Source organism: Homo sapiens, chromosome 1, assembly GCF_000001405.40.
Source record: "Homo sapiens chromosome 1, GRCh38.p14 Primary Assembly".
Taxonomy (NCBI): domain Eukaryota; kingdom Metazoa; phylum Chordata; class Mammalia; order Primates; family Hominidae; genus Homo; species Homo sapiens.
Window position 1 is genome coordinate 200,140,661 of NC_000001.11, and position 13,018 is coordinate 200,153,678.

Here is a 13,018-nt window from a genome sequence, read left to right on the forward strand (position 1 = left end):
ATACATATAGGGGAGTCCCAAGTACCCTTCATCCAATTTCTCCAATGGCAACATCTCACATAACTATCCTCAATCTAAAAATCAGAAAGGCAGGGCGCAGTGGCTAACGCCTATAATCCCAGCACTTTGGGAGGCCAAGGTGCATGGATCACCTGAGGTCAGGAGTTTGAGACCAGCCTGACCAACATGCAGAAACCCAGTCTTTACTAAAAATACAAAAATTAGCCGGGCATGGTGGCACATGCCTATAATCCCAGCTACTTGGAAGGCTGAGGCAGGAGAATTGCTTGAACCTGGGAGGTGGAGGTTGCAGTGAGCTGAGGTCATGCCATTGCACTCCAGCCTGGGCAACAAGAGATAACTCCATCTCTAAACAAACAAACAAACAAACAAAACCAGGAAAATGGCATTGGTATAGTCTGTAGACTTTACCAATTATTCAGTTTGCATATTTCACCAGTTTAAATGCACTCGTTTGTGTGTTTGTATGTGTTGGGGGGTGGGTTCTGGCAATGTTATCACATGTAGGTTCATGTTACTACCAACATAATCATGATACAGAACTTTTTCATCACCACAAGTTTCCTTTGCGCTAGCCCTTTTATAGCACCCACCCCTCCCTCCATTCTTAACACCTGACAATCACTAATCTCTTCTCCATCTCTGTAATTTTGATATTTCAAGAATGTTATATAAGTATATAGTATGTAACCTTTTGGAATTGGCATCTTTCACTCAGCAATATTCCCCTAAGATTCATCCATAAGTGTATCAATAGTTTGTTCATTTTTATGATTGTGTAGTGTTCTTTGGTATGGATATACCACAGTTTGCTTAACCCTTCACTTATTGAAAGACATTTGAGTTGTATACATTCAGTTTTGGGGTACTACAAATAAGCTGCTATGAATATCATGTATGGGTTTTTATGTAAATATAAGTTTTCATTTCTCTTGGATAAATGCCCAAGAATGCACTTGTTGGGTCATATGGGAAACATAGGTCTATAATCTATTTTTTAAGAGGTGAGTTTGATCTATTTACTAATAAACCATCCTAGTTTTTGTATGTAGGAAATGTTTTAAATTTGGCCACTTCTTGGAAGATAGTTTAGGTGAATATAAAACTTGAAGTTGACAATATAGTCTCTTAACACTTGGGAAGTCTTTTGGAAGTCTACTGTCTTTTCTTTTTGATAATTTTTAAGGTTTTTCTTTATTGCCAGTGTCTTATATACTTTTACTACAAGGTGTCTGAGTATACCGGAAGTGCACATCCAATTAGAGGGCACTGAAGAATTCTGCTATTCTCTTTTCATATGTCACTTCTATGCAAATCCCTCTGCTAACTCCTATCAGGCATATGTTGGAGCCTCACAGTCTACTGTGTCTTCTAGTTTTTAAGCTTTTTTCCCCCTTTTATCTCACTGTGCTGCTTTTTGCATAATTCCCTCTTCAACTATATCCAGTCTAGCACATATACCATCAACTTAGTGTTTTGAATAATTGTTTTTTGTTTTAAAGACTTCTTTTTTTTTTTTTTTTTTTTTTTTTTTTTAAGATGGAGCCTTGCTCTGTTGCCCAGGCTAGAGTGCAGTGACACGATCTCAGCTCACTGCGACCTCTGCCTCCCGGGTTCAAGTGATTCTCCTGCCTCAGCCTCCTGAGTAGCTGATATTACAGGTGCCTGCCACCACGCCCGGCTAATTTTTGTATTTTTATAGAGATGGGGTTTCCCATCTTGGCCAGGTTGGTCTCGAACTCCTGACCTCGTGATCTACCCGCCTCGGCCTCCCAAAGTGCTGGGATTATAGGCGTGAGCCACTGCGCCCAGCCTAAAGACTTCTTTTTTTTAAAAAAAAATTATTATTATCATTATTATCTTTAGAGACAGGGTCTCACTCTGTCACCCAGCCTAGAATGCTATGGCATGATCATGGCTCACTGCAGCCTCAAACTTCTGGGCTCAAGCAATCCTCCCACTTCTGCCTCCCACATAGCTGGGACTGCAAGTGCATGCCACCATGTCTGTCTTGCTTTAAAGATTTCTAATAGACCTGTTTTCCCATTAATGTTTAAATTTGGCTTCTATTGTTTCATTACGTATCTTTTAAATTTTTTCATTTTTTCCTTTTTAATTAATCAATTTATTTATTAAGATTTTTTTCTTCTTGCCTTGTCTTATGGCACTGATATCTTTCTTTTTAGATGAATAATATCTCTATTTCTCTCTTAAACACCTCAAGCAAACTGATTTTGAGGTTTTTGTCAGATTCTTCCATAGAAATAATTTCTTCTGGAGTGAGTTGATGTTTTATTTTTGCTGACTTTTTCCTTAGCAATATATATCTTGCTGTATATGCTGTATGTAAAAAGTGTGTGTGTATGTGTGTGTGTGTGTGGTTTTTCACATTATTAGTTGCAGACTTACTTTGAGTAAGACTTTTGGTGGCTGCTCTTGTTTCCGTCTCTTTCTCCTGTCTTGTGTTTTCTTTGCTACACACACTGTGCTCACTCCTCTGCATTTAGCATTTCTGTATTAGCTTCTGTCTGACTCTATGAGATCCTGAGTCCAGAGGCAAGTCCTATATGGTGTTTAGGCTTCTGCACTGTGGTCATACTGAAGATACTTTAGATCCAGTCACAGAGGCAGTGGGGGCCCTGCTTTAACTCCCAGTCCGGGGATATATTTTTGCCCTGCTACCTTGCCTAGTTCCACAGCTTACCAAATCTATAGCTTGGGCAGTAAATTAGGATTAGTTTTGTTTTTTTTTTCCCCCTTCTTTCATTCCTTCTAATAGCCTCCTTTTACAAAAGGAGTGGAAGTTTGGAACTCCTGCCCCAGCCCTGCGCCATGCTTTACTTTAAGCAAGACCTAGCTCTGGTTGCCACATGCATGGTTGCCACACTTTAGGCCCCAACACCCTTCAGAAGCTGGACTCCAGCTACTGTTCACTGGACTCCAGCTATTGTTCATAATTTTTTTTTTTTTTTTTTTTTTGAGATGGAGTCTCACTCTGTTGCCCAGGCTGGAGTGCAGTGGTGCGATCTCGGCTCCTGCAACCTCCGCCTCCCGAGTTCAAGCGATTCTCCTGTCTCAGCCTCCCGAGTAGCTGGGATTACAGGCGCGCGCCACCAGGCCCAGCTAATTTTTTTATTTTTAGTAGAGACAGTTTTCACCATGTTGGTCAGGCTGGTCTCAAACTCCTGACCTCATGTTCCACCCACCTTGGCCTCCCAAAGTGCTGGGATTACAGGCATGAGCCACCATGCCCGGCTACTGTTCACCGTTTAAATCCTGGCCACTGCTCTGCATTTCTGCTCTGTTTGTGACAGAGATGTTGACATTGTTTGAGCCTAGCTATGTCCTTTTCTCTCCCTTTGTATTTTTCTGTCATTGATATGTTTGTAACAGGAAGAGTGCACCAAAATGAGAATTCACCACAATATTTTGACAAGAAGCACAGCATAACTCTTCTGTTTCCAAAGAGCCTGAAATGTTTGAATCCTCCCATCACCACCAACCACCACCGCCACCATCATCCCAGCACTGTTTCTCTCTCTCTCTCTCTCTCACACACACACACACACACACACACACACACACACACAGAACAACACTCAAGGCCAGGATCTCCTAAAGCCTTGTGCCGTGGGTCTCCGGTCTGCCTTTCCAAGTTTGTGTCTCACCATTCTCCTTGCCCATGTCAGCACACTGTTGCCCAACAAACTGAGCAATTTGATCTTCCTGGAGCCTATTCTATATCTTACTACTTTGGGGCTAGTTTGTGTTCTGCCTCTCTTCTTGAAATGCCATTCAAAACAACCCCCAGTCTTTCAAGCTCAGACAAACTCTTCCTCTATGGAAAGACCTATCAAATCTGCCATTTGGGAAAGAATTTCCCTCTTCTATTAACCCATTACATTGTTTCCAATTTTTATTACATTTGCCATGATCAAAATACCATTTTAAAACATCTTACCCAGTCTCAAACACTTAACATAGTCTTATACTGAAGATGTTAACTGTTTATTAAGAAACTCTTGTGTACTAGATGCTGTCCAAGGCCTTTTTAGATACATCGTTATCTCATTTAATTCCTTCACCAATTACGGTATGAGGTGAAATTTGCTCATTTTACAGATAAGGAAATTGAGCGTGAGTAAGTCTTACCCAGGTCCTTATGAAACTAGCAGATTCCTAAGACCTCTCTGAGACCTACTAAATAGGAATTGCTAAGGATGGGGCCCAGGAATCTGCATTTTAACCACCTCTTTATATGATGCTCTAGCACTCCTACTGTTTAAACCTCGTTGCTCATCAGAATCATCTGGGGGTTGAGGGAGGTGGCTTAAAAATATTCAGAACTGGGCGGGCGCAGTGGCTCACACCTGTAATCCCAGCACTTTGGGAGGCTGAGGCAGGCGGATCACAAGGTCAGGAGTTCAAGACCAGCCTGACCAATATGGTGAAACCCCATCTCTACTAAAAATACAAAAATTAGCCAGGCGTGGTGTCACGTGTCTGTAGTCCCAGCTACTCAGGAGGCTGAGGCAGGAGAATCGCCTGAACCCGGGAGGCGGAGGTTGCAGTGAGCTGAGACTGAGACACTGCACTCCAGCCTAGGTGACAGAGCAGGACTGTCTCAAAAAAAAATTTTTTTTAGAACTACCAAATTGGAATTTCCAGAGTAATGGCAATTTTTTTTTTACCAGTTTCTCAGATGAGTATGAAGCAGGTGGTTCACCAATTCCTGTGTGAAATATACCTAGGCAAATGTCAGAAACTGGTAGGCCATTGATAGAATTTGTGTGTGTGTGTGTGTGTGTGTGTGTGTGTGTGTGTGTGTGTGTGTTATAAAGGTGACTCAACATTTAAAATCAAGAGAATCCACATAAAATATGAATTCCAGTTTCTTTCTAAAAAATTAGAAGGTCGGGTTACACTAGGTTCTTATGTTGCAGGTTTGTTTGATTATTTTTTAAAGGCAGGGTCTTGCTCTGTTGTCCAGGCTGGAGTGCAGTGGCAATGGCCATAGCTCACTGCAGCCTTGAACCCCTGAGCTCAGGCAATCAGCCTCAGCCTCCTGAGTAGCTGGGACTACAGGTGCATGCCACCACACCTATAGGCTATCATGTTGCAGGTTTCTAGGTGCCTTGATACTTTGATGTCCCTAATAATGAAAGTAACTGCAAGAAGGGCAGTCAGTTTATGCCTGAACATAAGGAAAAATTCATATATTAGGAGAACACTGTACACAGATATAAGTACACCAGATAAATGAATATAAGCTTTACTAAAGATTCATTACCAAATACAATTTTACTCTTCAAAAATTTTACTTATCAAAAATTTATTGAAGATACCTCATAATCTCTTCCCTTTAATAAAAATTAAAATGTAAATGAAATAAAATTATAGGATTCCTAAATATTAAAGACTACTAAGTACAAGAAACAAGATTAGTAAATATTAACAAGGTTACTAAATATCAACCATGAGATTCTTGAGTTTCTAATTTGCCATTCACTTGCAGAAGTTCACCTGTGAGTTTTGCATTGGTAGATAAAGAAATTCATCTACCTGCTACAATTGGCCTCAGATTCTAGGTGAATCTGATCTGTCTACAGCACTCCAAATATAAAGAAGAAATAATGATAGTTTCACTTTCTGTAACCCTACTCAGTGGATTCTGTTGCTCTACTTGTTTAGCTGTAACTACTGTCAGAAATTTTCTGTGGAGGCCAACACAGGATAGTCGGTTTTTTAATGTGATACAGTTGTGATTGTAACAGGCTGTATAAATAGCCATCAGTGGGTACCATGGAAACCACCTGGAATTCTTTATCTCTGTCCTAGAAAGTACTGGAGCTTTTGTACAGCAACTGAAGACATATTTAAGATCTTTCCAAGTAATAAAAAAGGTCTTTGTGCATTTTAAACATTAAATAAAATTAAATCACAAATAATTATTAAATAGCAAATTACTAGGTTAGGCCCTTTCTCTAGCTCTCTGGGAATCATGGTTTTCAGACCTATGGTTCTCAAACTGGGGCTGGAAGTCAAAATTAATGAACAAATTACCCCAAATATTCTTAGTACTTTCAAAAATTTATTTGGAAATTACACATTTGTCTGCTATAAAGTTGCAAAGGCTAAATAAGTTTTTACTGATTAAAAATTTACATAATAATTTACTTATCAAAAAATTACATAATATGACTCATATTCCCTTGTAAGGATACATAAGGATAGAGAACGGAAAATGTATCCTTATGTATGTATCCTTATCCTTGTATCCTTTTTTTTTTTTCTGGTTCCACTTTGTTTTTATTCACTGAAACCAATAAAAGAGTTGAACACAGCAAAACTTGGAACAACAAGGAATTAACTGGGTGGCAGCAAAGGGCACCAAAAGAAAAGATAAATTGCCCAAAATAAATAAGGGCTGGTGAGGAAAATAAAAAATGTTTCCGAAAAAAGTGGGCTGTGATGCAAGGTACTGTGAGATAAAGAAGCAATTGTTTCACGCAAAAAATAGAGGGGGGCACCTCGCTGAAGCCAGCGAGGCCGCTGCACCACGTGGTGTCAGGAGACCTTAGCAATGGCCCAGGTTCGCTGGCTGCATCTGCTGTGCCAGGCGCCTACTGTGCGCTCCTCTCCTCATCCAGCAAAGCTCGGCCTACATGGAGGTTTGCTGACTCCCCCAGGCCACCTTAGTTCCTCTCGGAGTCTGTATGGGTCTGGGCGAGATGCAGGCAGCTTATCTGTTTATGGGGCTGCCTCCTCCAGTACACGGAGAGCTCTTTGAGGCAAGGGACAATTTGATCTGTTTCTTCATCCTTAAAATTTCTGCTGCTTTTGCTGTTTCTGTGATTTCCTTGGTTTCTCCATTGGTGTGCTTAAAGCGATCTCCTCTACACGAACGCTAGGGCAGAGCACATTTTCGCACAGGCAGCGCCGCAGCTTGCCCTGGATCTTGTCGATTGAGTTGAAGTCGGACACGTGGAAGACATGGGTGGACTTGGGCTCCGAGGCGATCTCCTCCAGCTCCTCCCTGAGCGCCTCTCCCACGTCCACGGTGAAGACGCGGATGCCGGCGCGAATGCCGGCACGGATGCCGGCACGGTGGGCAGCCGCCGTGGCGTCCAGCACCAGGTCCTGGCTGCAGCCATTGGTGAGCAGTATGGCCACCTGCTTGTAGGCGCAGTCCCCGGAGCGGTGGCCGGCGCGCGGGGAGAAGCTGCGGGCTGTGATGTGGTGCAGCGCTTCGCCGGTGTTGGTGTTGCCCTGTGGTAGGCGATGCATCGGGCGGCCGCCTTGACCTCCTCCCGCGAGCCGAAAACGCCCAGTTCGAAGGCCACGTTGGGCAGGTCGCTGGAGCGCACGGTCCCCATGCAGTCGGGGCCCGCCTCGAAGGTATCCACCAGGTTGACTACCCACTGCTGCACCTTCTCAAAGTCCTCCTTGCCCACGCTGGAGGAGGTGTCCAAGAGGAAGACCAGATTGTAGTGGACGCTTCTGCAACCTGTCCGTTGGGCCTATCAGCCGCCGCCCCGACTCCACAGCGGCAGCATCCAAAGGAAGCCGGCCACAGCATTCCCTCGGAGGGCAGCCATGGCTCTCCTGTTCTTGGGGACAGGCTTTTCTTGGCCATTTAGGCCAAGAAAGACGCAGTTAGGGCCTACTGCAGCATGGCCTAGCAGGGAGGCACTCGGGCTGCCAGCAGGAGTCCAATCCTGGGCCCAGGCCCACTGGAAGCAGCAGCTGGGAGAAGACACCAGCCCCAGGCAGCCCCCTCCTGGGGGTCACCTGCCAGCAACTCGCCCACTCTCCCCCCAATAATCTCACAAACTCAGACTCTAGACAAGACTTGCAGTAAGTCTGGAGGCTTTCCCCAGGCCAGGGGGCCAGAGAGGATACATACATAAGGATATGTAGGGGAAAATTAGTCAAAAATAAAGAAGTTAAGTGAAGCGCAAATTTGAGGGAAAAAAACTTTTAAATAAAAATCTCCCTGGTAAACTTCAAATTCACTAAAATCATTTCTATGTGGATGATTTTCTCTTTTCTTTAATATATTTTAGTAGCTAAATAATCTACACAAATGAGATTTAAAAATTGAACTCCAGACAAATGGAAACGTGAAGGATCCTATGAGCATTTCCTGTCCTTATAAGGGTGGAGGTTTTTTCTTCTTCATCTTTTTGTCTCCAACTCCTAGCCCAGTCTTTGGCATGCGGTACTTTTTTTTTTTTTTTTTTTTCCTTTGAAACCAAGTCTCGCTCTGTCACCACGCTGGAGTGCAGTGGCACAATCTCAACTTAAAACAACCAACAACTCTTGGGTTCAAACAATTCTCCTGCCTCGACCTCCCGAGTAGCTGGGATTACAGGCACCTGCCACCATGCCCAACTAATTTTTGTATTTTTAGTAGAGACAGGGTTTCACTATGTTGGCCAGACTGGTCTCAAACTCCTGACCTCAGGTGATCCATCTGCCTCGGCCCCCCAAAGGCTGGGATTACAGGCATGAGCCACCTCACCCGGCCACACGCAGTACACTTTTAGACAGAGTCTACTTTGCACTTCTTGGTGCTGTTTACTGGCACACATATTCAAAAGAGTGACCATGGCTGATGAGTGTGGGTCGCAATAACTGATGCGTGGCCAAAGGTGTTTCCCACAACAGTTGGCTTTGATTCACCGTGTATCTTCTGCACTGGCTACCGTGTAGTTATGCCTTGCCCTTCATGGGTCCTGGGATTACTTGACTGCTGCCGAGGCTAACAGCCTCTTTTTTATTCTGATTGTGACCCATTATATTAGTCTGTTGGCCACTGACTCACTAGTACTTGGAAGCAACCCACAGCTATGTTGTCACATCCACGTATTCCCCTCAACACGCAGCAAATTGGGGTGAGACCAAGGAAAGGCCCATGCACAAAGGAACCTGACAGCTGTCAGCAGTAGCACCTGAGGCCAATTGTAGGCGGTAATAGCACACACTCAGAAAACCATACGCCAGCAGTGTGTGTGCATCACAATGCCGGGAGTGCACATATTGTGGGCTCCTCATCAACAGGGAACTCATCCTGCATTGCTTTTATATCCCAACTGTACTTAGCACAAGACTAACCATACAGTAGGTATCTGTGCCTATAATGATTTCACCAATATTTCTACATATGAACTACTATTCATCATTTAGGGTCTCACTAAATGTTGCTTCTTTGAAGATATTTGCTTGAATCCCCTATGGCATTTTGTAGTTACCTCCATGCAGTAATGATAATATCCAAGTCATTCGTTCCAGAGTTTATATCACTTATGTAAAGCGTATAACTCCAAAGCTTTGCAATAGGTGTTCAAGCAGCATATAATGGATGGATGGATGGATGGATGGATGGTTGGTTGGATGGATAAACATTAATTGCTTAGAAGCCAAGTGGAGCAATTTGAAGGAGCACTCTCTCCTATACTTCTTGTTTTGTTATGTCAATTCATGAAATCCCCAGAATGACACATAAAAGGAAACCAAAATCAAATTAAAACTTATGAACCTAAACCATCTTGTGTCATCCTTGGTAGACATTTAGTGGAGGAAATATGAAATTGTACTATTCATTCAAGGAGTTAATAGGTAAACCAGTTTATCCATCACTAACTTGTTTTTATAGCATCAACATGGTGTAAAGACAAAAACAATCTTGAACTCTAGTAACTATCATCTATATTTAATGCCTCTATGCTACAACAGTAAGACTCTGGATGATTATCAGTACCACTTAGAATTAGAGCTTCTTGTTAAATAATTCATACATTTGATGGGGAAGAGCTTCAAACAATGCTCAAAGCTCCAGTAATTAATGGGCTAATTACGAGATGCTTGTAAAATGGCTTAAACACTGAAAGTTCAGTGTAGGTATAATTGTTTTAGAGTTAACCCTGTGTATTTAAATGTCAAAAAAAATATTCAGTGAAGATGAGTAGAGGGTTGGGAGAGAGAAGAGAGATCATAAGATATCACACCAGTTTAGAAGTCTTCACTATTGATTTAAGATTTCTAAAAAGGCTCTGGAAAGGCAGAATGCAGGCCTTCCTAATGCCCCAGGCATTTTCCAACCATGTCTCTAATCACATAAGAAGAACATCACCCATGAGTCATAGGACTCTGGGTACTCTTAGAGGTCAGAAACCGCTGCAGTGCAAGTCCTTTCAGCCTAATCGCCTCTTCACTAGCAACGCCCAGGTTCCACAAGAGTGCTCTGTTTCATTCCAGGACCCGTGGGAGTTAAGAATTGAAGGTAGTTGATTTTTTGGTTGGTTCATTTGTTTGTTTTTCCTCCCTGTTGTTTGCTGTTCTCAGAAATGACCTGCTCTCTGAGCTTTCTTGGAGTGTAAGGCATTTCAATTCTAGAAAGGTGGGGCTGGGAGGAAAATGGTCTCCTTGACTGCAAACCATCTAGCTGAAATGTCTTTCACTCATCCCACTGGAAGGGGGAAAAAAAGCCTTCTTTAGAAGATGAAACATTGTCTTGTGTCTTTTAGCATCGTTCTGGGCAGTCAGTCTGTTAGGACATATTGGGCGATTATAGGACTGTCTTTTTAGAGAAAGCCATGGGTTTCAAGTTAGCAGGAACCATCTATCAATTCTTAAGATTATGCCATGATTTACTGTCAGAGCATCATGTATTCTGATTTTCTGCCTCCCATGAAACATTGTGCTTTCCTTTTCTATTGATGTATCAACTATAATAGTTACAAGCAGCTACAGAAAAATCAATAGCGAGCTTTCATTACTGTGTACATCAAGTAAAGAGCCCCCCGCTGCAAGAGCACAACTTGTTAGATGCTCACCATGGAAGGTGTACAACACTCAACTGTTTTTTTCCCAGACTGCATTAGAAAAATCAACTATAGAAAAATTATAAAATAGTATCATATTCTACATGGAAGCACAGAGACCCTATAAAATCTCTCAAAGGGAATGGACAGGAGGCATTATCATGTTTCAAAATGAGCACAGCATTTCCAAAGTGAATATAAAGGTATTTAATGCGATTCCTACGTGGTTTTTGTTTCTGGTTTTCTTTTGCATTTGTCTTCTTAAGGTCATCAGGATAGTGGGAGGAAATACTGAATTAGTATTTACTAGATTGACTGCGTAAGCAGAAAGTCACCACTGGCTGAAGTGCATGCTGCAATAGTCATGCGCTCAACACCCAGCCAAGCAATGAGGACCCTAAGAACTGTGTGAATACAGAGTAATATTACCAGGGTCTTAATCAGATCCAGGAGTCCCAGACATACATATGCAAAGTTTTATTCTCTTTCCAAGCACATGTTGGAAAAAGAAAAAGACTTAGGATTTTAAAGCAACAAATACCTTTATTTGCCTTTGGGAGCACATTAGCTACCAATTAGTGCATGTAAATTGAGACTGCTGAAAAAGAGAATGTATGAACTGATAGTCTGGGTGGGGGACTCTCAAGGCCTCAGAAGTTCTCTAGCATTTCAGCATCAATTTGGGCAACATAAAGAGATTTCCAAAGCAAATCCTAACAAGTCCTGAATCTGAACCATGTACAAATCATAAATCCCATGGAATTCCCAATCTTAACATGTGCAATGAATGTATTCAGATCTATATATTTAAGTAATTAGTTCATTACTTTCTGATAGTTATGATCTACATAAAGGTTTTCCATATGTTACTGTTATGATCCAAGTCCAAACTCCAGTTATTTTTTATCTTTAGAGATAATATATTTAGCAAGAAGGCAAAAACGTGCCTGATAATTTTTATGTTCATATAAGAATGTTAAGAAACTACAAAAATGTGTTTTGAAATATTACAGTAACAAACAGGAAACAAACTAAAACCTTGAGTACCAGGTTAACTTCCCCAAAATACCATTTTAAAATACTGATGAATTTGAACAAGTGGTTTGATTTTTGGGCATCTGTTTTGTTTTAGGGGAAGGGAGGAATATTTAAATGATAAAATTTTCAAATATCCCATTTTTTTCATAGTTTTCCCAACTTTTGTGGATTTTTTTTCTATTTCGTTTTTCTATGCACCCAAAAATTATGTGAGAATTTTGCATTTGCCTTTGACATTCTAACAACAGAATGAACTGCCATTCAGCTATGGTCACTACATTGAGAGTTTAATGCTCCAAAAGGTATGCTCTGCAAGGACTGTGAAAAGATTAATTAGTCTTTGCTGGTTTCATCAGAGGATGCTGAGAAACTGGCAACAGGCTCTCTCCTGCACCACAGCCCAAGAGGAAGATCCTCTTTTCCCCAGCAAACCAGGTAGCAATGACATCTGCAAGGTTAGCCTTTCTATTTGCCAGTGTCCCTGACAATTAAAACAGTGAAAATAATTCATGCATTGCCAATCTTAATTACACTCTTGCTTTCGTTTATTCCTTTTGCTACTTTCCTGGCTGGTGTTTTGCATGTTACTTATATGCAGTAGTACTTATCTAAAGCCTACTTTAGAGTAGTTGTCCTTACAAGAAATGGAAGTCTAAGTAGAGTGGAATAGCATTTGGATGATTACAGATTCTCTGTGAATTCAGCTAACACTTTCCTCAAGGTAGCACTCATGCTCCTGTTAAAAGTACATTCTTTCCACATGCTTTTTTCACATAGTTAAAAAGAAATCCTTCCATGACATACTGAACCCTAATACCAAATAAGCTGGTGCTTCCCCTGAGCCACATAGGAGAATGTTGGCTCTGAGAATGTCGCAGCATCCCTGCACTGCTGTGATGTGCAGTCAACAGAGGGTACGAGCTCTGGCAGAAAACCCAGAACAGGATATTATGCACAGTAGGGGCTTTCCAACCCAGCTGTTCCAAGCCCTATAGGGTCAAAATGATGGGGAAATCCAGAATGACAGTAATTATGCCATCAACCTTACGGCTCCCTGCCAGAGAGGTTGCTGGTTAGACATCTATACATCTAGTAGCTGTTTAATACATTTTTTAAAACAGGTATAGTGAAAG

General features: G+C 41.8%; 1 protein-coding gene and 1 pseudogene across 9 annotated transcripts in view, besides 2 other annotated features; one reads left to right on the forward strand and one right to left on the reverse strand.

The window, feature by feature from the left end:
• Positions 1-13,018, forward strand: part of NR5A2 (nuclear receptor subfamily 5 group A member 2) — a 149,706-nt gene that overhangs the window by 112,951 nt on the left and 23,737 nt on the right. The window lies entirely within an intron of this gene.
• Positions 5,682-5,741: a silencer, noted in NCBI's record as "silent region_1668". NCBI's record gives its function as "represses an Ori minimal core promoter by ATAC-STARR-seq in GM12878 lymphoblastoid cells {active_cell/tissue: GM12878}" and the evidence as "EXISTENCE:reporter gene assay evidence [ECO:0000049][PMID:35858748]".
• Positions 6,871-7,819, reverse strand: LOC100420255 (collagen type XXII alpha 1 chain pseudogene; annotated as a pseudogene).
• Positions 12,946-13,015: an enhancer, noted in NCBI's record as "active region_2295". NCBI's record gives its function as "activates an Ori minimal core promoter by ATAC-STARR-seq in GM12878 lymphoblastoid cells {active_cell/tissue: GM12878}" and the evidence as "EXISTENCE:reporter gene assay evidence [ECO:0000049][PMID:35858748]".